The sequence below is a fragment of the Homo sapiens genome, chromosome 12 (genome assembly GCF_000001405.40).
Source record: "Homo sapiens chromosome 12, GRCh38.p14 Primary Assembly".
Taxonomy (NCBI): Eukaryota; Metazoa; Chordata; class Mammalia; order Primates; family Hominidae; genus Homo; species Homo sapiens.
In genome coordinates, this window is record NC_000012.12 from 53,102,996 (window position 1) to 53,127,128 (window position 24,133).

The 24,133-nt window shown below is 47.5% G+C and overlaps 1 protein-coding gene and 1 long non-coding RNA gene across 8 annotated transcripts, besides 1 other annotated feature; one reads left to right on the top strand and one right to left on the bottom strand.

The window, feature by feature from the left end:
- Positions 73–601: an enhancer, noted in NCBI's record as "H3K4me1 hESC enhancer chr12:53496852-53497380 (GRCh37/hg19 assembly coordinates)". NCBI's record gives its function as "activates a minimal SCP1, AML or CMV promoter by ChIP-STARR-seq in primed H9 embryonic stem cells {active_cell/tissue: H9 hESC(primed)}" and the evidence as "EXISTENCE:reporter gene assay evidence [ECO:0000049][PMID:30033119]".
- SOAT2 (sterol O-acyltransferase 2) lies at positions 491–21,540 on the top strand. Of its 6 annotated transcripts, NM_003578.4 has the most exons (15): positions 491–664; positions 1,156–1,211; positions 2,112–2,248; positions 2,566–2,625; positions 2,912–3,019; positions 12,395–12,659; positions 13,102–13,171; positions 15,355–15,439; positions 15,895–15,940; positions 16,129–16,258; positions 17,791–17,888; positions 18,308–18,406; positions 20,086–20,221; positions 20,733–20,878; positions 21,078–21,540. In NM_003578.4, exons 1-15 carry the CDS (start codon positions 583–585, stop codon positions 21,126–21,128), a joined length of 1,569 nt encoding a protein of 522 aa, NP_003569.1. In that variant the 5' UTR covers positions 491–582; the 3' UTR covers positions 21,129–21,540. The 6 variants fall into 6 exon arrangements, with proteins under 6 accessions (NP_003569.1, XP_047285628.1, XP_047285627.1 ...); XM_047429672.1 differs by lacking the exon at positions 2,566–2,625; XM_047429671.1 differs by lacking the exon at positions 21,078–21,540 and having other exon boundaries at positions 20,086–20,351; positions 20,733–20,859.
- LOC124902936 (uncharacterized) lies at positions 3,637–12,536 on the bottom strand. 2 transcript variants are annotated; one of them, XR_007063315.1, is made up of 3 exons: positions 12,304–12,536; positions 10,340–10,611; positions 3,637–4,339 (listed from the first exon to the last, which is right to left on the bottom strand). It is a non-coding gene; the product is annotated as an uncharacterized LOC124902936 (long non-coding RNA). The 2 variants fall into 2 exon arrangements; XR_007063314.1 differs by lacking the exon at positions 12,304–12,536 and having other exon boundaries at positions 10,340–10,769.
- Positions 21,541–24,133: the final 2,593 nt, after the last annotated feature.

Here is a 24,133-nt window from a genome sequence, read left to right on the forward strand (position 1 = left end):
GGAAGCGGCCCTGTCAGTTCAGGGGCCCTGACACTCAGCCTTTCCTGGAGGGGCCCCAGTTCCGTGAGTAGCACAGTGCCAACCCCATCAGAATATTACCACATGTGTCAATCACACACCTTGTGGTGAAAGCGAGCTGAACGCACTGATACATGAAGACATTTCTGACTCCTCCCTGACCTTCAGCCTGCTGGGAGAGAGACTGGAAGGCCAGCCATGCTAGGTGACAAGCTTCTGAGAGGCAAAGTTCCCCTCCCCAAGATGTACCCAGCCACTATTCCTGTGTGTGTGTGGCGGGGTGGATAGCACCCTTGGAGCTGGGCATCTGGATGGTGGTTGGGGTGTTAGGGGGATGTGGCGATCCCTGCGACAGACAGCAGAGTGAGGTCTGAATCTGAGAAGCTCTGCCTCCAGATCAGATAACCTATCGCACTCCCAGAGGCCCCCTCCTCCTGAAAGGACTTTAGTCTTTGGAGCTGTCACCTGAGCTGAGTGGGACAAGAGCTCTACAGGGCAGGCCACACTGCGAAGGAAGGAGGCAACACGGGCAAGGGCTGCCTGCTGCCCGCTGGAGACCGCACCATGGAGCCAGGCGGGGCCCGTCTGCGTCTGCAGAGGACAGAAGGGCTGGGAGGGGAGCGGGAGCGCCAACCCTGTGGAGATGGTGAGCCGCCCTCGGGGGTGCAGAAGGCACAGGCAAGTGGGGGGGAGGCGGGGAGAGATGCGCTATGGAGAGAAGGCTCCAACTGCCTGATGCCAATCCTTCCTGCTGTCCAGAGAGGCCAAGGAAGGTAGACCCTGGCCTCAGCCCAGAGCCACCCAGCTGGAAGATGGAACAGAAAAGAGCTATGTCAGAGCTGTGGCCTGGCCTTATCCTTCTGACTGTTTAGCCCCAGATAGTGAATGGAGTAGCTTCCCATTCCCTGAGTGCCCTGTTCCCAGTAATGTCACCAGGCCCCCTGCTTGCCTATGGCCTCCTCACCACTGGCAACAGCAACTTCCCCTTCTAGTAGCCCCAACCATGATACTAGATATTGGCTGGTTGGGGTGAGGGCAGCTGCTGAGCACACAAAGCATTTCCTGACCACAGGATGCCTCTGGGTCTGCAGAACCCCAATTCCTCCTGTTGACTGTGCCTTTGATCCCTCCTCACAGGAAACACTGAGACGCACAGAGCCCCGGACTTGGTACAATGGACCCGACACATGGAGGTGAGGGATGTCAGAGGTCAGAGGTCAAGTGGACAGATCCTTGGTAGCAGGAAGCAGGAGTGAGGCTTGGTGATAAAGATGACTTTTTTTTTTTTTTTTTTTTGAAACAAAGTCTCGCTCTGTTGCTCAGGCTGGAGTGCATTGGCACAATCTCGGCTCACTGCAACCTCTGCCTCCCAGGTTCAAGCGAGTAGCTGAACTACAGATGAGTGCCACCAGGTGTGGCTAATTTTTTTTTTATATTTTTAGTAGAGACGGGGTTTCACCATATTGGCCAGGCTGGTCTTGAACTCCTGACCTCAAGTGATCTACCCGCCTCGGCCTCCCAAAGTGCTGGGATTACAGGTGTGAGCCACGGTGCCCAGCCTGATGACTTGTTCCTGAGTGCAAAGATCGGATTCGAATTAAGGATGGAGATGGAGGGGTTTGAAGCACAGGTCCCAAAGGTCACCAAAAGTCAGCCAGTAGATAGAGTCTTCCTGCTAGTGCGGCTGGAGGCCAGGGGTGAGGAGTGACAATCGGAGGTGACCAGGCTGGAATTCAGACCCAGGGAGGGGAAGCCTTGCTCCTGCTGTCACTCCCTGATCCTCGCTGCTGCCCCAGGAAGCCAGAAGGAGATCAACTCTGGGCAGGGATCATGGCTTGTTCATCTTTTTACCACAGCACTTAGCACTGCGGGGTCCTACCCCACCAGCAGACCCATCACCACCCCACCAATGCCTGCCCTTCCCCCCGCAGGCCTGCCACCACTGAACCCCCATCCCTGCTGACCCCCCAGGTTGTTTTTTTTTTTAAAAAAAGCACTGTGCCTGGCATAGACAGAAATTCAGTGAATGTCTGGTGAATGAAAGGATGGCTGACTGGAGGGACAGTGGGCTCTACCCTGGCTTTGTCCCGTAGGCTGTGAAGGCACAATTGCTGGAGCAAGCGCAGGGACAACTGAGGGAGCTGCTGGATCGGGCCATGCGGGAGGCTATACAATCCTACCCATCACAAGACAAACCTCTGCCCCCACCTCCCCCAGGTTCCTTGAGCAGGTGAGTCTGGGGAATGGCTGCGCGGGCTCCTCTGTAGCAAGGATCATGAGCTAGAAACATCACGTTATGTGCCCTTGCCAGCTTTATCAGGACCGTGACTCCAGCCTTCCCTCTTCCCCCCTTGTCTTCCTAACACTGACCTCCATCTACTGGGCCTCGCTCTGCCCTGGCCCTGACCTTCTACCCGGTCCTGCCCTCTGGCCCTAGCCCTGACCTTTCCCTACCACTCCCCTTGGCTCCCAAGTATTGACCTTCTGCATGGCCCTGCCCTCTGCCCATTTACTTTTTCCTGACCCTGAACAAACATCTCAATTCAGGACCCAGGAGCCATCCCTGGGGAAACAGAAAGTTTTCATCATCCGCAAGTCCCTGCTTGAGTAAGTCGGGGTGATGACAAGTAATGGGAGGAAAAGAAAGGGCTTTGGCTAGGGGTCAAGGTACCTCATTTCTCATCCCCAGCCTCTAGGTGGTTTGTGGAGAGGACTTGGAAAGGGTTTCTAAGGTGCAGGTCCCCTATTTGCCCTAGGCATGGTTGTGGAAGAAAGGCCTTTAGCTGGAAGTTCTGGATCGCTAGGCCCCATGCCTCATGTGTACAGTGTCTGAGCTAGTTCACACAACCCTGAGGACCCTCCCACACTGACTTTCGGGCCCCTGTCCCTCTAGTGAGCTGATGGAGGTGCAGCATTTCCGCACCATCTACCACATGTTCATCGCTGGCCTGTGTGTCTTCATCATCAGCACCCTGGCCATCGACTTCATTGATGAGGGCAGGTAGGTCCCCTTCCCACCTGGGACAGGCACACCTATCTGATCAGACCCTCTGGGTCCTCAGTGCCCCACCTGCCCTTGGGGCAAGAGGACACAGGTTCCCCCTTTGGTTATTGGACATGTACCAACATTGCTCCCAACAACCTTTCCACCTGAAACACTCTCTAGGATCCCTTCCTTCCCCAGCCTTGGTTGGCCCTTTGTCTGTCCTCCCAGGGCCGGCCACTCTCAAATGCTTCTCAATGACACCTTGCCCTGAGGCAGATGTGTGTGTGTGTGCACACATGCACACCCATACACACTCCTTTCCAAGTCAGTTCTATTCAAGTAACCTCCATTGAGCACCTCCCGAGTACCAGTCCTAGTGGCCAGAGAAATGAGGGGGGCAGACCCCACTCCTGTCTGTGAGGCACTCCCAGTCTTGTGGGGAAGACAGACATGTAACCAAGTGCCTGGGTGGGTCATTTCCCCCACAGAGCACCCCATCCAACTGTGAGGATGAGCCTCAGAGAGCTGTATACCCCTGGGGGTCTGTATTTTCATACCTCCCACTATTCCCAGACCAAACTGAGGGTTGGGGCTGCTATTTCTCATGGCCCAATAACGAGATGCAGATGAACTGGGGAGGAAGTGAGTTTTTATTTCTGTAACCAGTTACAGGGAGAAGGCCTGGAAATTATCACCAGGCCAACTAAAAATTACAATTTCCAGAGCATATATACCTTCTAAGCTCTACATCTATGTGTAGGTGTGCATTCATCTAAAGACATAAGTGATTAACTTCTTTTAATCTATAACTAAGGTCTGAGTCTTGAAGACCTTCTTCTGGAGCCTCAGTAAGTTTACTTAATCTAAATGGGTCCAAGTGCTGGGGTGATTACCCTTCTCTTATCTCCTGCTAAATAACGGAGGTTTGGGGAGTTTCTTCAGACCCCCAGCAAAACTTGTTTAATCATGCTTTGAGGTTCAGGAAAGGCCTAGGCAAAACTCTTGGTGGGCTTTTGTTACATTCCAGCCTTTGTATAAGGGCACTGGTTTTTAACATTTAACTTAACCACTCAGTCAGTACTGAAACAGTTGTTATGGAGGTCTGCATTAGTGAGACCTGCTTGTCACAGTCCCCACTGTCAATTTACACGATTTTTATCATGCATGGATATTTATTTATCATGAGAATCGCAGGGAGATGGGGAGTCGTAATCTTTCTGGCTACTTCCTGCTGAGAGGGGGTCGTCGTTATGGGGCACCAAAAGCAGCAGTGGAGTGGAAGAGGTTGATTTGTTCGCAGTAGCACTCTCTGTTTCGGGGCCTTGGAGGCAGCACCTGCTGAAACATAATAGTATGTAACAGTACATATAAATAGGCTACTGCTCTTTTCTTCTGAAGTTTAAGTTGTCTAGTCTTCAGTTTGCAGGGCTTTAAGAAAGCAGAGCTTAGGTTTCAGTGATTACCAATTAGGAAGAATGGGGGAAAATGGAAAAGAAAGAGGAAAAAATTGAAAACATTATTTTGGAGACCTGTAGCCAGAAAAGTTAGAATTTAATCCAAACTGCAGAAAATAATAAAAACTGAAAAACATCAGGCAAGACTAGAATTTAACAACAGATGTACTTTTTTTTTTTTTTTTTTGAGACAGAGTCTTGGTCCGTTGCCCAGGCTGGAGTGCAGTGGCGTGATCTTGGCTCACTGCAACCTCCGCCTCCTGGGTTCAAGCGAATCTCCAACCTCAGCCTCCTGAGTAGCTGGGACTACAGGCACGTGTTACTGTGTTCGGCTCATTTTTGTATTTTTAGTAGAGACTGGGTTTCACCGTGTTGGCCAGGCTGGTCTCGAACTCCTGACCTCAGGCGATCTGCCCACCTTGGCCTCCCAAAGTGCTGGGATTACAGGTGTGAGCCACTGAGCCCAGCCATAGTTTTTGAAACATAATTTTTCTCTCTCCAGTTTCCCATTTTTATTAAAAGACAGATCATAGTAGGACTGGTTTGCTTTATTATACTTGGTTTAATTATTTGTATACAGTACAGCAAGAATAATTAGTTTCACATAGGCCTTTTAAATTGGCTTTGATGGAACTTCGTTCCATAGAAGGAATCTGAGATAAGTCCTTTTAAAGCCGAGCCCAGCCATGGATTTGTACCAATAAATACCTATGAGTTGGGTGAATTCCTCTTCTCTTGAGGTTCCAAGATAACTTGGGGTTCCTGGCCTGTCAGAAAATGACATTCTTTACCTACCACAGATCAGAAACCCTGGACAGGGACTGTGTACACAAAATATGATGCCAGTTTTCAAGGGCTTTATTGGCTTCATAAGTCAAGTTCGATTCCTTAAAAAAGAGTACACCATTCCAGTCAAAGCCTTGGGAAAATAACCACTTTTTCCAATTATGTCCTGTTACAAAAGAAAACAGATTCTTATTGTACTATGCAAATAACTAATATTGCAAATAGTTTCCAAATTCTGGAGAAATCAGGTAGAGAGAAACAAACATGCTCCAAATTTTATTCATAGGAGTATACTTTACTTAATTGTTAAAAGCTATTAATAGCTCAAAAGAAAAGTTTCCTTGACTCTGCAAAGCAAAACAAAGGACTAGCAACATTTTAAGCAAAAAGTGAAAAAGATCACTTCAATCTCCTTTTAGTTCAGTACATGCAGTTAATTCCTGTCCTGCTTCATATTAATGAATATTTTAACTCTTCAAGAGCCCTAAATGTTTTTCCTCCATTGTGATGTCACAATCTACAAAGTTATCAGAAACCTGCATTCAAGAGCACCTGTTAGAGCTTTATAACTGATTATAAAACCACCTTCTAAAGAGGACCAAAACAAGAAAACAATTGTTTATGGATGACAAACAGTTTTAGGGTAGCCATAGTTAAAGACACAATTGACAAGGAAATCTGTTACCTCTGTAGCACACAACAATTTAACATAACAATGGCTGGGCACAGTGGCTCATGCCTGTAATCCCAGCACTTTGGGAGGCCAAGGTGGGTGGATCACGAGGTCAGGAGTTCAAAACCAACCTGGCCAATATGGTGAAACCCCGTCTCTACTAAAAATACAAAAATTAGCTGAGCATGGTGGCGCATGCCTGTAGTCCTAGCTACTTGAGAGACTCAGGCAGAAGAATCACTTGAACCTGGGAGGCAGAGGTTGCAGTAAGCCAAGATCACGCCACTGCACTCCAGCCTGGGTGACAGAGCGAGACTCCATCTAAATAAATAAATAAATAACAATTCTAATTATTATTGATAATGTACACTAAGATATATCAGAATTATAGCAGTCTCTCATAACTTTGGAATACATACCAATAACATATTTATACAAATATAGCCCAAAGAAAGTCAAACCCCATTTTATATTTGGCAATGCTTCCTGTATGATTTTTGGTACCAAATAAGCCAAATTTCACCTTTATATTAGTGTACTATTAATGTTAAACCCAATTATTTATTTATTTATTTATTTTCTTTTTTGAGACAGAGTCTCACTCCGTCACCCAGGCTGGAGTACAGTGGCATGATCTCGGCTCACTGCAATCTCTGAATCCTGGATTCAAGTGATTCTCCTGCCTCAGCCTCCCAAGTAATTGGAATTACAGGCATACGCCACCACACCCAGCTAATTTTTTTGTGTGTATTCTTAGTAGAGATGGGATTTCATCATGTTGGCCAGGCTGGTCTTGAACTCCTGACCTCAAGCGATCCACCCACCTTGACATTCCCAAAGTGCTGGGATCATAGGTGTGAGCCACTGCACCTGGCCTTAAACCTAAGTCTTAATAAAACCTTATACACATGGTTTACCCAATTTTAATGTTTGACCATAAGGTAAGATTTGTATAGACTTTTTCGAACCCTTTACAATTTTTGTTAAAGAGCAGGTTAGTGCTCTAAGAGAAACCCATTGTGCTTTTATTTTAATGCTCAATTTACAGAAGAAACTGGATGATACCCCTTTAACTTTAGCCAATATGTTTACACACAGAATTTCCTTTACAATCAACCTTCCACAACTTGCTTAAACCTCCATCTTTATCTTACCCAACTTAAAACAATCCTTTTACCTTTTAATCTAGGGAAAAATCCATTATTGTCATGCCTTCTTATAATCTTTTTACCAAAAGTATATTTTACTTTTCTTATACACCTTGCACATAAATTGTTTCTTCAACAGTGTTAAATATATATTATACTGTTAACTCTTAGCAACCTTTACTTTTGGTGAAAACCTTGGTAAGTTTGGGATTTTAATTATGTACTAGGTGTGGCGCCTAGGACCTAGACAGGAGTACAGATAAGGTCTGACTTATTCCAGCGTCTAACTCCATGTGTCCTAGGACTTACCTAGCTGTAAAGCAGGCAAGTTGTACAGCTAAGAGTCATAAAGCATTTAGGAGGCCTAATCACCTTTAAATTGTATAACATTTCTTGTATAAATTTCCTTTAACAAATTCTTTCAGGACTTCCACAGACAATCTCTGACATCCCTTGACTTTCTGATTTGTCCTAAACATGTTTCTCTTTAAACAACCAGTTATTTTACTTTAGGACAAGAATTTACCATACAAGATCCTTTCTTATATAAATTCTCTTTTCTTTAATATCTTTTTGCATATCTAGGGGGCATGGCTAATTTCACATGTCCCTAGCCTTATCTAGAATCTAACGCTCCAAAATAAATTTAACAATTTTTAAGTCAAAGATGCAGTTTATGACCTAAAGCATTTAGCAAACCTAATATTTGACATCCATAATTTAAACCAAACGTTTACATTTTTGAAGATATTTTTATTTTACCAATAATCTTTAAAATTGTCTTTATTTTTATAACTTTTTTTATGCCTCTCTTATTTCCTGTTTTTTTTACCTTGTTTTATATATAACCTTTAAGGTTTGAATTAGACAAAAATTAGTTACTCTTTAAAAAGGACACAATTTTTAGAAAGAATGTTTTCCTACATTTTTATTGGAAAATACCCAAATAATGAAATATCTGTTGTTTAACTTTAGATTCTAAATTATGACAAGTTTATGAGTATTTATCCCATTACATTTATCTAATTATTTATTTTAATCATTTGCCTACATTTTTTTTTTTGAGATGGAGTCTCACTCTGTCACCCAGGCTGGAGTGCAGTGGCGTGATCTCGGCTCACTGCAAGCTCCGCCTCCCAGGTTCACGCCATTCTCCTGCCTCAGCCTCCTGAGTAGCTGGGACTACAGGCGCCCGCCACCACGCCCGGCTAATTTTTTTGGTATTTTTAGTAGAGACGGGGTTTCACCGTGTTAACCAGGATGGTCTCGATCTCCTGACCTCATGATCTGCCTGCCTCGGCCTCCCAAAGTGCTGGGATTACAGGTGTGAGCCACCTTGCCCAACCTATAGTGTAGCTTTAAAACAGAGAATGATAACAGTCCTTTCCCAGAACAAACTTCCTTCATGTCTGTGGACTAGACTAAGGCCACAAGAGTAGAAGTTAGGGTATTTTACTAAATAATTCAAGATGTCGCTATCTTCATTAAACAATATTAATGTTTCATTCATTAAAAATGACATGAGCAAAGATCATTCTGTTTTGGGCTGAGTTATAGTTTTGTAGCCTCTATGCCAAATTTTGACACCTTATAGTATTTGGCAGAGATAAGTATGAAATTGCTTGATCAATAAATGCAAACAAAAATGTATGCTGGCAACTCTTAAGACATTTCTAGTATTACTTTACCAATAATTTTTAAAGCTAGCTTATGTATTAAAGATTTTATTTAAGTCACATAAACTTGAAAAAGCATTTGACTAGTCTTTCCTTTTTTCTGTTAAAGTATTTAAGTGCTTTTATTTTTCTTTAAGCCAATTAATTAGAACTCTTTTATATATTTTCAGTAGTGAAACATGGTATACACAAGACATAAATACGCAGACGTATTAGGCATGCCAATAGAAGTACATTTTATAGATTCCTAAGACCTCCTTTTTCCTCTCTTTTAACTGGATCTTTGTGCTCTGGGCAGATCTTACACTGAATCCTGGGTTTTCAAAAAGGGAGAATTATTATGAAGCCAGATCATGTGAGGCTTTTACAGTGCACTTACATTTTTTTTTCCCAAAGACATTTCTATGTCTCTCAATTACACTTCTTAAAAACCCCAGAGTAGCTTCTGTTGTAATAGCTATTAATCAAGAAAACAGAATTCAGTCAACTGAGAAGGAAAAAAACTTCTGCTCAAAAAGACAAGGTCCTGGCCGGGTGTGGTGGCTCACGCCTGTAATCCCAGCACTTTAGGAGGCTGAGGCGGGCAGATCACCTGAGGTTGGGAGTTTGAGACCAGCCTGACCAATATGGAGAAATCCTGTCTCTACTAAAAATAAAAAATTAGCCAGGCGTGGTAGCACATACCTGTAATCCTAGCTACTCGGGAGGCTGAAGCAGGAGAATTGCTTGAACCCGGGAGGCGGAGGTTGTGGTGAGCCAAGATTGCACCATTGCACTCCAGCCTGGGTGACAGAGCAAAACTCTGTCTCAAAAAAAAAAAAAAAAAGACAAGGTCCTAGGAGAGAAATAAAAACAAAACCAAAAACATGAAAGCCTTTTAAATACAAACGTGCACACATGCACACATACGTATACACATCTTGGATGTTATCTTTTAATTAAGCTGACTCTCAACCATTGAGCGTCTAGAAGATATTTTTCCTTCCCAGTGGCCTCTCAGCAGGAATGGACCCAATACCTCCCATTTTCTTTTTTTTCTTTCCTTTTTTTTTTTTTTTTTTTAAGACAGAGTCTTGCTCTGTCGCCCAGGCTGGAGTGCAGTGGTGCAATCTCAGCTCACTGCAACCTCTGCCTCCTGGGTTCAAGCAATTCTCTGCCTCAGCCTCCCAAGTAGCTGGGATTACAGACGTCCGCCACCACACCTGGCTAATTTTTTTAGTAGAGATGGGGTTTCACCATCTTGGCCAGGCTGGTCTCAAACTCCTGAACCTCATGATCCAGCCACCTTGGCCTCCCAAAGTGCTGGGATTACAGGCGTGAGCCACTGCACCCAGCCAATACCTCCTATTTTCAAGTTTACATGCTATCAAAGGGAATAAGACAGATACACAAATAAGTGGAGACAAATTTTGGACAACACAAGGGGGAGTGCACTCAGGCAAAACAGACTCAAAACCAACTCAAAACCTGATTGCAACCAAAATGCAAAGCAGGCGTATGAGTGAGCCCTATTGCTTCCCTGGGTGGTACCGGACAAATGGCTTAACAAGCCCAATAGGAAAACAATAGGCTCCCGGCATATGATCTGTTTAACTCACCCTTTGAGCGTGTCTGCTTCTGATCTCTGTTCTTCCCCAGTAGTGAAAGGGACGTGCAGTTTTGCACACGGGACAGCCCTCGGGAGGGTCCCCAGGAAAAATCTCACGGGCAGCTGCTTGGACCCTCCTGAAGACTGTCTCATCGCAAGCCACTGGTGGCTGAACACAGCACCATCCCGGTCTCTCCTGGCTGGCTTGCCACGTTTTGTTCCCAGGTCAAACTGAAGGTTGGGCTGCTATTTCTTGAGGCCCAGTAACGAGATGCAGATGAACTGGGGAGGAAGAGAGTTTTTATTTCTGTAACCAGTTACAGGGAGAAGGCCTGGAAATTATCACCAGGCCAATTAAAAATTATAAAGTTTTCCAGAGCTTATATACCTTCTAAGCTCTATGTCTATGTGTAGGTGTGCATTCATCTAAAGACATAAGTGATTAACTTCTTTTAATCTATAACTAAGGTCTGAGTCTTGAAGACCTTCTTCTGGAGCCTCAGTAAGTTTACTTAATCTAAATGGGTCCAGGTGCTGGGGTGATTACCCTTCTCTTATCTCCTGCTAAATCACAGAGGTTTGGGGAGTTCCTTCAGAATCCCAATAAACTCATTTGTGGAGGCCTGGGGAGTTTCTTCAGACCCCCAATAAAACTTGTTTAATCATGCTTTGAGGTTCAGGAAAGGCCTAGGCAAAACTCTTGGTGGGCTTTTGTTACATTCTGGCCTTTGTATAAGGGCACTGGCTTTTAATATTTAACTTAACCACTCTATCAGTACTGAAACAGTTGTTATGGAGGCCTGTATTAGTGAAACCTGGCCTGCCACATCCCCTCTCCCTATGTTGGGCTTGGGAAGCAATGAAAAAAACAGCTCCAAGGATCCACAGGCTCAGCAACAGCACTGCCTTTTGGTAAAATTTTTGTTGTTAGTTATACAAGTATTAAAAGGACAAAATCTACTGCTAGGTTTGCATAAGAAAAAAATAAATTAAAAAAACTAAAAATGATAAAATCTCAGTAAAAAGCTCAAATACATGTTTTTGTGTAAAGGAGGTCCTTCTTGACCGCCTCCTTCAATCCCACACTGCTCTCGGAGGATTTTAAACAGTTTCTGGCTGGGTGCAGTGGCTCACGCCTGTAATCCCAGCACTTTGGGAGGCCGAGGCAGGCGGATCACTTGAGGTCAGCAATTCAAGACCAGTCTGGCCAATATGGTGAAACCCTGTCTCTACTGAAAAAAAAAAAATTAGCCAGTCGTGGTGGTGCAAGCCTGTAGTCCCAGCTATTCAGGAGGCTGAAGCAGGATAATTGTTTGAACCCGGGAGGCGGAGGTTGCAGTGAGCAGAAATTGTGCCACTGCACTCCAGCCTGGGTGACAGAGCGAGACTCTGTCTCTAAAAAAAACAGTTTCTGAGTTTCCACCCAGAGCATTTTCCATGCATTGACATTCAGTACCAAAGATAGGTACATTGTGGAGGTTTCACGTAAACAAGAAACTGTACCTATTATTTTGTAATTTGATTTTACTCCCTAACAATTTATTTTAGGGATCTTTTCATGTTAGTCCATTGGTTTGAAGGACTGAAGAATATGGAGGTGCCAGATTTGTTCACTTAGTCCTTTACTAATGGACACTTAGGTTGTTTTCAGTTTTTCCCCTTAACAAACCATACACTATTAACCTAGGCTAACAAAACACTGAACAACCGGCATCCTATTACCTCCAATCTACAACAACAGACGCTCCAAAGGAATAAAACTAAGGAAAGTCAGTCTAGTTACCTCATATCCTAACATGTGTTGTATATAGAGTACTGAGCCCTTACCAACACCATGAAATCAGAGAGGGCTCTCAAGGTCATTTAGAATCAAACTCATGCCATGACTGAGTCTCCTGGAGCAACGCCCTGTGCCACAGAGGTGCCGTCTTGAACACCTCCAGAGATGGGGAGCTCACAACCTGATCAAGATACCTCAGTTCATCTTCCAGGAGCTCAGACTGAAGAGGAAGGGGACAAGAATGGGCTTCACTTGTCTACTTTGTCTCTCCTTCCCCACTCCAAGGCTGCTGCTGGAGTTTGACCTACTGATCTTCAGCTTCGGACAGCTGCCATTGGCGCTGGTGACCTGGGTGCCCATGTTTCTGTCCACCCTGTTGGCGCCGTACCAGGCCCTACGGCTGTGGGCCAGGGGCACCTGGACGCAGGCGACGGGCCTGGGCTGTGCGCTGCTAGCCGCCCACGCCGTGGTGCTCTGCGCGCTGCCGGTCCACGTGGCCGTGGAGCATCAGCTCCCGCCGGCCTCCCGTTGTGTCCTGGTCTTCGAGCAGGTGAGGGCCGAGCCCTGCTGACGGACAGGAAGGAACCAGCTGGTGGGGCCATCTCAGCAGAGGGGGAGTCCCCCAAAGAGGGGGCGGGGCCCACGAGAGGGAGGCGCTGGAGAAGGCATTGGCAGGGGCGGAGCTAGTTACCGGGGGTGGAGTCCATTACGAGGGATTTGGGGAACCTGCAGGCTGGAAGGCAAACACTGTGACACCGCCATCACAGGAGGTTGACCGGAAGACTCCGCTCTGGCCTCTTATCCTAGCAGCCTTCATTCATCCCAGCATATGTTAGGCTATACGGCCATCCAACAAAAAGAAAAAGTATGGGCTCTGACCAGACAGATCTTACACTCTGCCTGCCTCTCAGAGGTAACCCAGAGCACAGAGAGGTTAAGCGATTTGCTTAAAGCCACACAGCAACTTTTCCTCCCCTTCCATTCTGCCACAGGTTAGGTTCCTGATGAAAAGCTACTCCTTCCTGAGAGAGGCTGTGCCTGGGACCCTTCGTGCCAGACGAGGTGAGGCCTTCATCTTGCCCGGTTGTGAACTCAGTCCTCTTGGCTGACTGAATGAAGCCAGCAGGTGCAGGATCCTGATAAAAGTCCCTGCCTTCCTAAGCCCGGGTTGCCCACCAGGCACAGCCCTGGCATCCAGCTGGGCTCTGTGGGCCTTCATCATTAGGCATTCTCAGCCCCTGCCTCTGACAGATGGCACCTCTGTTACCCAGGACTTCTGGCACTTTCCTATTTCCTATTTCCAGGCCCAGCCTGTCACCCAGGCTTTGTTATTCCATTTATAGAGCACAGGCAGAGTATATTTAGCATCATTCTTAAGGGCCCTAAAATTTTTGGAATGACAAGTTGGCACTGGCTCCAACTTAAAGTCACCAGCTGCATTAGCCCTTAACAAGAGCCCTTAAAGTCACCAGCTGCAGGCTGAGCACAGTGGCTCACACAGGTAATCCCAGCACTCTGGGACACTGAGACAGGAGGATCGTTTGAGCCCAGGAGTTCAAGACCAGCCTGAGCAACGTAGTGAGATGGGGTCTCACTTCAAAAAACTTTTTAAAATTAGCCAGGTGTGGTGGCTAATGCCTGTGGTCCCAGCTGTGTGGAAGGCTGAGGTGAGAAGATTACTTGAGTCCGGGAGGTGAAGGCTGCAGTGAGCCATGACTATGTCACTGTACTCCAGCCTGGGCAACAGACTGAGATCCCATCTCAAAAAAAAAAAGTGAGAGACATGCAACTCTTTCTTTCACTCACTTGAACACTTAAAGACCATTTCAACGTTATTAATTGGCCCAATTTCAAATTTTTTTTTTTTTTTTTGAGATGGAGTCTTGCCCTGTTTCCCAGGCTGGAGTGCAGTGGCACGATCTTGGCTCACTGCAGCCTCCACCTTCTGGGTTCAAGCGATTCTCCTGCCTCAGCCTCCTGAGTAGCTGGGATTATAGGTGTGTGTCACCACACCCAGCTAACTTTTTTGTACTTTTAGTAGAGACAGGGTTTCACCATGTTGGCCAGGGTGGTCTCGAACTCCTGACCTCCAGTGATCCACCCACCTCAGCCTCCCAAAGTGCTGGGATTACAGGCATGAGCCACCGCGCCCGGCCAATTTTTTTTTTTTTTTTTTTTTTTTTAGAGACAGGGTCTTGCTATGTTGCCCAGGCTGGTCTTGAACTCCTGGGCTTAAGCAATCCTCCTGCCTTGGCCTCCCAAAGTGTTGGGATTACAGGAGTGAGCCATTGAGGCTGGCCCCTAATTTCAATATCGTTGTATCTCAGCGAATAGGAAAGCTCGAGGAGAACAGAAGAGATGGGAGAATGGCCGGTCAGCAGAGTAGTCAGAACACACACAGAATTTGTCAGTTAAGTTTGCTCTCTTATTTGGGTGTATTTCATGATGCCCTAAAACAATTACAATTGTAACATTAAAAATCACTGGTCACAGTGATTTTTGCCGAGGTGAGAAGTTGGGGTAGAAGGGTGGACCTGTGACTCATGGTGGTGGAGAGGGGACGTTTCTGGGAGGCCTGGGGAGGCAGTGGGAGGGTGGTGCCAAGGGAAGAGGAGGCCAGTGCTGGGCCAGAGGTCCAATGCCACCGGCAGCTGCCAGTGTCCCTCTCCAGTTATGTATCCCCACACCCCCTCCAGGCCCTGGGCTGTGTGCTCTATGCCTGTGCACCATACCACATATAATAATAAGAAGAAAGAAATATTTCAGGAATTGCCAAAATGTGACACAGTGGCATGAAGTGAGCACTTGCCGTTGGAAAAAGTGGCACTGATAGCCTTGTCTCTTGCAGGGTTGCCACAAACTTTCAATTTGTAAAAGAGGCAATATCTGGGAAGTGCAGTAAAATAAGATGTGCCTGTATTAGGAAGTCCAGACAGAAGGGGAAGGAGAATGGGTTGTCGAACGTGTGGGTACCAAATGAAGCTCTGGCCACAGCAGGCCCTGCACTGGAAGATAGGGTGCCTGAAATGACAGCAGAAGAGATGGTGTTAAAGAGCCAGTTCCGCTCCTGCCCAGCTTAGCTCCCCTAGCCCGCATCCAGGTCCTACGTCCAGCTCCTTGCTTATCCCCCACCCCCACCCTATCCATTTCTCCACTCACCAATCCCACCACCCTTCCCCAGCAGCCCCCTCACCTCTGCCCTCTGCCCTTGCCCTTACTAATCCACCCCTCTCATTCCTCCCCAGGTGAGGGGATCCAGGCCCCCAGTTTCTCCAGCTACCTCTACTTCCTCTTCTGCCCAACACTCATCTACAGGGAGACTTACCCTAGGTAAGACCCTGCACTCCTTCCCCAAATGCCCAGGCCCATCAGGAAACTTACCCTTCTACTCTCCCCTCCCTGAGGTCCTCAGGCTCACCTCAGGCACTGGCCACTTTCTCAGGAAGCATCTCATAATAAAGATGGGAAATAGGTGACTGGTAGACTACCCTGTCTCCTTGCCCGGCCTATGATGACACTAGGGCAACCCACTTTCCTGGTTTACCCAGGACTGTCTTGATAATCCTACCCATCCTACACACCCTTGTTGACATCCATGCTTAAAACCCACTTGTTATCTCTGTTATGGAAAGTTCAGAGTATCCTAGACCCCACCACCCTAGATAATCCTCCCAGGCCTAAGCAATTAAGGGAACTGAGGAGAGAGGGCCCCAGAACCCGTGCCCAGGCTGAACAGAGAACAACATGAAAGAATGAGAAACATATTGTCCCCATTGCCGCTGCAGGACGCCCTATGTCAGGTGGAATTATGTGGCCAAGAACTTTGCCCAGGTGAGAAGATAGGGTAGAAGGGTGGACCTGTGACTCATGGTGGTGGAGAGGGGACATTTCTGGGAGGCCTGGGGAGGCAGTGGGAGGGTGATGCCAAGGGAAGAGAAGGCCAGTGCTGGGCCAGAGGTCAATGCCACCGGCAGCTGCCAGCATCCCTCTCCAGTTATGTGTCCCCATGCCCCCTCCAGGCCCTGGGATGTGTGCTCTATGCCTGCTTCATCCTGGGCCGCCTCTGTGTTCCTGTCTTTGCCAACATGAGCCGAGAGCCCTTCAGCACCCGTGCCCTGGTGCTCTCTATCCTGCATGCCACGTTGCCAGGTGAGCCAACTAAGGTAGGGCTAGAGCAGCTGTGCCCTGGGGAAGGCTAATCAGGGAAGGCCTTGCTAGTTACCTTCCCTCAGTTTCAACACGTTCTCCTTCTGAGTCTCTCCTCACATCTGTCCCCTCCTATCAGGGCCATTGCCATGGTCTCAGTTCAGACCATCTGCTCCCCCTCCACATCAGCCTCCTAACCCATCTCCCTGGCACCCAGATCTTTCCTTTCCCATCTACCCCTAACACTGCTGCCCAGGTGAACTTTCCTACTGCAACTAATCATTCCCTACCCTCCTTCAAAAACTCTAGTGATAAGTCAATGCTGGCACTTTTGGATCAGATATGAACCCTTGATGTGGCATCCAAGGCTCCTTCCCACACAGCCCCAGCCTATCTGGGGGAAGATATGTGCTTCCATGCCTCCAGGCCTTTGCCCATACTGGCCCCTCAGCTTGAAATACCCTTTCCTAATTTTCAGCCATGGAATCTAGTTGCTTCTTGGAGGCCCATGGTTGAGATGCCCCCTCCTGTGGGAAGCCTTCCTTTTGTAGCCATCAATTACTATGACCCACCTGTTTCTCTGTACTCACAGGCACATCAATGCCACCATACTTAGCTCCCATTACATTTGCCCTGGACACATGGTTGGACATCTTTCTGTCTCTGTCTCTGTGTGTGTCTCACTTCAATTACTCTGTGAACTCCCAATGGCCCTTTGAGATTCATCTCTATCACCAACATCTGGCACAAAGTGATGCCAAGTAAATGTACATGAACAAATGGATGAATAAATGAATGCATGAGGCCAGGCACAGTGGCTCACACCTGTAATCACAACACTTTGGGAGGCCAAAGGAGGAGGACCGCTTGAGGCCAGGAGTTCGAGACTAGACTGGACAATATAGTGAGATCTCATCTCTACAAAAAACTTAAAAATAGCCAGGCATGGTGGCTCACACCTGTAATCCCAGCACTTTGGGAGGCTAAGGTGGGTGGATCACGAGGTCAGGAGATCAAGACCATCCTGGCTAACACGGTGAAACCCCATCTCTACCAAAAATACAAAAAATTAGCCGGGCGTGGTGGCGGGCGTCTGTAGTCCCAGCTACTCGGGAGGCTGAGGCAGGAGAATGGCATGAACCCAGGAGGCGGAGCTTGCAGTGAGCTGAGATCGTGCCACTGCACTCCAGACTGGGAGAGAGAGACTCCGTCTCAAAAAAATAATAATAATAAAAAAAATTAGCTGGGAGTGGTGGCTCATGTCTGTAGTTCCAGTTACTTGGGAGGCTGAGGTGGGAGGATCACTTGAGTCCAGGAGTTTGAGGCTGCAGCGAGCTATGATCACACCACTGCAGTCCAGCCTGTCTCAAAAAAAAAAAAAAAAAGGAATGCATAAATTTGTGAATTACCAATAAATGAATGGTAAGAGTTGGGGCCCTGGTTTCTGGGCAGGGGCTCCTCAGAACCCAGATCAGGGCTGCCTGTGGGTCCATGTGGGCCAGCCTGACCTGCAGCCTCTTGTCCCCAACCACCAGGCATCTTCATGCTGCTGCTCATCTTCTTTGCCTTCCTCCATTGCTGGCTCAACGCCTTTGCCGAGATGCTACGATTTGGAGACAGGATGTTCTACCGGGTGGGGCCTGGACCTAGGCCAGTTGGAAGCTGGAGATAGGGAGGGTTAGGGAGGGATCTGGGGAAGATGGTAGCCAGGTTGGGTGTCACTTCAGCCATGCTGTTCACCTCCCATAATAAGAAATGCAGTCCTCTGGATGTGCTTATAATGCCACCCCTCCACCTCCTGACAAGCCAGGGCTAACTGCTTTTGTGTGCATGGTACTACAGAATCTTCTCCTGAGAGAGGGAGTAGGAGGGAGGACAGGGCCTCCGTGACCTGAGGAGGGAGGTGGGAGAGTGTCTGCTGTCCCTGTTCTGCCAGGAGCCAGCCCTTCTGGAACACTGGGATAGGGTGCAGGCAGAGGGAGCAGTGGGGAGGAGCCGGAACCCAGATGCTTGCTTACCTCCTTTCCCCCACTCTGACCCCACCTTCTCCAGGACTGGTGGAACTCAACGTCCTTCTCCAACTACTACCGCACTTGGAACGTGGTGGTCCATGACTGGCTGTACAGCTACGTGTATCAGGATGGGCTGCGGGTATGGGCCCTGCAGACCCCTTCAGCTCTCACAGTTAATAGGGGCTCTCCTTCCTTCCCTCTCCTTCCCTCCTGCTACAGTGTGGCAACTACACCACTCACCTAAGGGCCTAAGGGCCGTTTTGATTTCATCTGTCCTCATTTTCTCATTTTACCCAACCCAATGGGTAGAAAGTCCTTGCAATCTTAACTTTCTTCCATCTTTATCCTTAATTCCACCCTGTCCACAGGGCATTGTTTCCCACCTTAGCCTTCTAAGGAACATGCACATAGCAATTTTCAGCTACCAAGGGTTTTTACATACATTTAATCAGCACAGTAACCCTGAGAAATAAATATGATTATATCCTCATTTTAAAATGGCACCTAAGTCCCAATGGGATAGTAGCATGCTTTTTTTTTTTTTTTTTTTTTTTTTTTTTTTGAGATGGAGTCCAGCCTTGTTGCCCAGGCTGGAGTAGAGTGGCACGATCTTGGCTCACCTGCAACCTCTGCCTCCTGGGTTCAAGCGATTCTTCTGCCTCAGCCTTTTGAGTAGCTGGGACTACACGCAAATGCCACCATGCTCAGCTAATTTTTGTATTTTTAGTAGAGACGAGGTTTCACCATATTGGCCAGGCTGGTCTTGAACTCCTGACCTTATGATCTGCCCATCTCAGCCTCCCAAAGTGCTGGGATTACAGACGTAAGTGACCGTGCCCAGCCAGCATGCTCTTAAATAAGATTGATGTCACCCCTTCTGACCTCAGATCCCATATTCTTTCCACTGCGCCACACTCCCCCTGGCTTCCTTAAGGTGGGGGCTCTTTTTTTTTTTTTTTTTTTTGACCATTGGGAGGTAAACATCTTAAAAGCAAATTTTATTCTGGTTACATTCATTAGCAGAAATACTTTCATCTGACACAGCATTAGGTCAACAACTTTAAACCCCAAACTACCTTTTTTTTTTTTTTTTATTGATCATTCTTGGGTGTTTCTCGCAGAGGGGGATTTGGCAGGGTCATAGGACAATAGTGGAGGGAAGGTCAGCAGATAAGTGAACAAAGGTCTCTGGTTTTCCTAGGCAGAGGACCCTGCGGCCTTCCGCAGTGTTTGTGTCCCTGGGTACTTAAGATTAGGGAGTGGTGATGACTCTTAACCAGCATGCTGCCTTCAAGCATCTGTTTAGCAAAGCACATCTTGCACCGCCCTTAATCCATTTAACCCTGAGTGGACACAGCACATGTTTCAGAGAGCACAGGGTTGGGGGTAAGGTCACAGATCAACAGGATCCCAAGGCAGAAGAATTTTTCTTAGTACAGAACAAAATGAAAAGTCTCCCATGTCTATTTCTTTCTACACAGACACCGCAACCATCCGATTTCTCAATCCTTTCCCCACCTTTCCCCCCTTTCTATTCCACAAAACTGCCATTGTCATCATGGCCCGTTCTCAATGAGCTGTTGGGTACACCTCCCAGACGGGGTGGTGGCCGGGCAGAGGGGCTCCTCACTTCCCAGTAGGGGCGGCCGGGCAGAGGCGCCCCTCACCTCCCGGACGGGGCGGCTGGCCGGGCGGGGGGCTGACCCCCCCACCTCCCTGCCGGACTGGGCGGCTGGCCGGGCGGGGGGCTGGAGGTGGGGGCTCTTTGTGGAGGAGCTCAGGGAGACTTACTCTTCACTCCTTTCCTCACCCTGCCAGCTCCTTGGTGCCCGGGCCCGAGGGGTAGCCATGCTGGGTGTGTTCCTGGTCTCCGCAGTGGCCCATGAGTATATCTTCTGCTTCGTCCTGGGGTTCTTCTATCCCGTCATGCTGATACTCTTCCTTGTCATTGGAGGTGAGCTGGTCTCTGTGCCACTGGAAGGGAGCCATCCAGAGGGAGGCCTGCATCCTGCTCCTGCAGATCCCAGACTGATGGTGGGAGGCCTCGCCCCCAGGCCTGGAGGCAAGGCTGCTGAGACTGAGAGGTGGAGTCAAGGGGGTACTTGGAAAGCAGGGAGGGAGGCAGCATTTGGGAGGCAGCCAAGCTGTATCCTGGGGCATGTGGGAGGAGGTTTCTGGTTGGAGAGGAATATTTGAATAGATCACTCATGGAGGAAGACAAAGAGGAGGAAACTGGGATGAGGCTGAGAGGCTCAGTATGAGATTCAGGATATTGAAGTACAAACTGAAGAATCCTGGTTTTACATGGGCCACTTTAGACCTCTACGAATTTCTGCACCTGAGTTCAAGATCTTCTCCAATGGGGCCTTCTTGTTCCATCTCTTCCCAATACCCTGGAATGGGAGGGAAGCCAGGGAGACAAGGCACTCCTGGAGCTGGAATGACAACCTTTCCTCCTGCACCAGGAATGTTGAACTTCATGATGCATGACCAGCGCACCGGCCCGGCATGGAACGTGCTGATGTGGACCATGCTGTTTCTAGGCCAGGGAATCCAGGTCAGCCTGTACTGCCAGGAGTGGTACGCACGGCGGCACTGCCCCTTACCCCAGGTAAGAGACCACAACCCTCATCCAGCTCCCCATCCATGAGGACACACAGACCAACAGCCAGTCCCTCCTTGTTCCCCAACTCACCGGCCACAGTCAGGCACCAGGGCCTGGCTTGGGGGTGATGGACTCTCACGTCTTGGATGCATGGGTTGAGTCACCAGGAATGATCTCATTCACGACTTATTCTTCTCTGGCTCAGGCAACTTTCTGGGGGCTGGTGACACCTCGATCTTGGTCCTGCCATACCTAGAGGTCGGGACAGACGACGCTACCTGCCCAGACACCACCAAGTTCTCTGCCTGCAAAACCTGGGACCAGGACTCCTGTCTGCATTCCCAAATTTGGCTCTGAGTCGAGGCAACCTGCACACAAGACCCCACCAAGGAATGTGCAAGGACTGAGATCTGCAGACTTGTGGGTAACTGATCACAGACCTCAGCATGGGGGTGACCAGGGTGACTCTTCAATCCCTATCCCCATGGGCTGGGTACAGGATATCCTCCTACCCCATGACTGTCTTAGGGAGACTTGGGGTACCTTATGGATTTGATGAATGTGGGGGAACTCAGAGGAACTGGGGCCACCAAGGTTGGAAAAGGGTTTGGTTCTTGACTTTGTATTCCTTCCAATACAGCAATAAACTTTGTCTCCCTTTTTATTCATTCATTCATTCATTCATTCATTCATTCATCATTTGTGGAAGGCTCACTTGGATTTTTGTAGAGTTGTGTCTGCAGAGGCAAGACTTTGTGGTAGGATGGGTGAGAATCTTGGGTGCCCCCTGCCTTACCTTCTCTATGCCACCACCATCTCCCAGAAACCTGACCCTTCTTCCACCTCTTCTCCAGCTCATATTGAATTTTCTAGCCCCTTTAATCCTTCTGCTCATGGCATGCCCTAGCACATTTTGAGAGGACACGTAGCAGGCCTCCTTTCCTTTAGTAGATTCAGGAGAGGCATGCCTCGTATAGACCTGAAATGAAGCTTTTAATTTCGTGAACCCCAGTTTCTACAACTATAAAAGGGACATTAAAATTAGGAGTGTCCCAACTGAAGGAGACAGAAGGTCAAAATACTTCTGTTCAAAACTGTTTCAGAAACCAGACTATGTGGTCTGCCCTCCCCACACTGATTCCCTGCCTGATGTGGTTCTGGGGAGACATCTGTGTAAGAAAAGTGGGGAACATTAGTCTCAGGGGGGCTGAGGACCAAAAAATCCAGGGTCCCTAAGAGAGAGAGATGGGGTATTTCTTTTTTTTTTTTTTTTTAACACTTCAACAGTGTGTATAAGACATCTTTTTTTTTTTTTTTTGAGATGGAGCCTCGCTGTGTCGCTCAGGCTGGAGTGCAGTGGCGCGATCTCAGCTCACTACAAGCTCCGCCTCCTGGGTTCACGCCATTCTCCTGCCTCAGCCTTTGGAGTAGCTGGGACCACAGGCGCCCGCCACCACGCCCGGCTAATTTTTTTTTTTTTTTGTATTTTCAGTAGAGACGGGGTTTCACTGTGTTAGCCAGGATGGTCTCGATCTCCTGACCTCGTGATCCGCCCATCTCAGCCTCCCAAAGTGCTGGGATTACAGGTGTGAGCCACCGCGCCCGGCATAAGACATCTTTTTATGTCAATAAATATAGATCTATTTTGTCACTTTTATTTATTTATTTGTTTTTATTTATTTATTTATTTTTTAGACGGACTCTCGCTCTGTCGCCCAGGCTGGAGTGCAGTGGCATGATCTCTGCTCACTGCAACCTCCACCTCCTGGGTTCAAGCGATTCTCCTCCCTCAGACTCCCGAGTAGCTGGGACTACAGGCGCCTGCTACCACGCCCAGCTAATTTTTGTATTTTTAGTAGAGACGGGGTTTCACCATGTTGGTCAGGCTGGTCTCAAACTCCTGACCTCATGATCCACCCGCCTCGGCCTCCCAAAGTGCTGGGATTACAGGCATGAGCCATCACACCCAGACTCTTTTCTCCCTCTTTTTATGCCTTCTTTTGAATAAATTATTATTCCACAAGTGGAATGAATGATACATTTTTATTTCATTTCTGTTATCTTATTGTATGTTCTTTACTCATCCCATGATTTAGCTTTGTAGCTCATGTTGCTATTCTTTCATTTCCCCTACCCCATTGTTATTTTGGATGTTCTACTATATTTTTCCATTCTCTTGTTAGTTACCTTCCCTTCCAGCAATAATAATAAAACACACATTATGATTATTTGAAAATATGCCAATTATGTATTCCATTAAGATGTTTCATGTCCTGCACTTCTACCAATAAGAGACATTTAGAATACTTTTTCTTACCTCTCTCACTCTGCTTCCAACTCCTGGGTTTTTCTGAGATAGGATAGTACTTTTGGTTGTAGATATAATTAGATGTCTATCAAGCTCCATGAACATTTAACTGTATAATATTTTTCTTTCTAAGTTTGTTGCTCACTACTTGTTCTTTATTCTCTTCACCTTCCTCTATCTTGATTTCTCTGTTCTGTACCAAACCATTCTTTCAGGTGAGGTATGAGATTGATATACTCTCTGAATCCTTTGGATCTCCAAATATATATCTTTTGCCCTGATAGGTGAAAGTTCTCTCAGCTGGGTATGAGATTCCTGTGTAAGGCTGGATGCAGTGACTCACACCTGTAATCCCAGCACTTTGGGAGGCCAAGGTGGGTGGATTACTTGATGTCAGGGGTTCGAGACCAACCTGGCCAACATGGTGAAACCCCATCTCTACTAAAAATACAAAAATTAGCCAGGTGTCATGGCAGGTGCCTGTAGTCCCAGCTACTTGTGAGGCTGAGGCAGGAGAATTGCTTAAACCTGGGAGGTGGAGGTTGCAGTGAGTTGAGATTGCACCACTGCGCTCCAGCCTGGGTGACAGAACAAGACTCAGTCTCAAAAAAATTAAAATAAAAATAAATAAAAGACTCCTGGCCGGGCGCAGTGGCTCACGCCTGTAATTCCAGCACTTTGGGAGGCTGAGGCAGGTGGATCACAAGGTCAGGAGTTTGAGACCAGCCTGACCAACATGGTGAAACCCCGTCTCTATTAAAAATACAAAAATTAGCCGGGAGTGGTGGTGCACGCCTGTAATCTCGGCTACTCAGGCAGCTGAGGCAGGAGAATCACTTGAACCCAGGGGGCAAAGGTCGCAGTGAGCCAAGATTGTGCCACCGCACTCCAACCTGGGCAACAGAGCGAGACTCCATCTCAAAAAAAAAAAAAAAAAAAGAAAGAAAGAAAGA

Coding starts and splice junctions, on each gene's coding strand:
- SOAT2 (NM_003578.4), top strand. CDS start 583: ATGGAGCCAGGCGGGGCCCGTCTGCGTCTGCAGAGGACAGAAGGGCTG. Junction 2,249..2,565: donor CCCCCAGGTTCCTTGAGCAG/GTGAGTCTGGGG, acceptor ATCTCAATTCAG/GACCCAGGAGCCATCCCTGG. Junction 3,020..12,394: donor GACTTCATTGATGAGGGCAG/GTAGGTCCCCTT, acceptor CCCCACTCCAAG/GCTGCTGCTGGAGTTTGACC.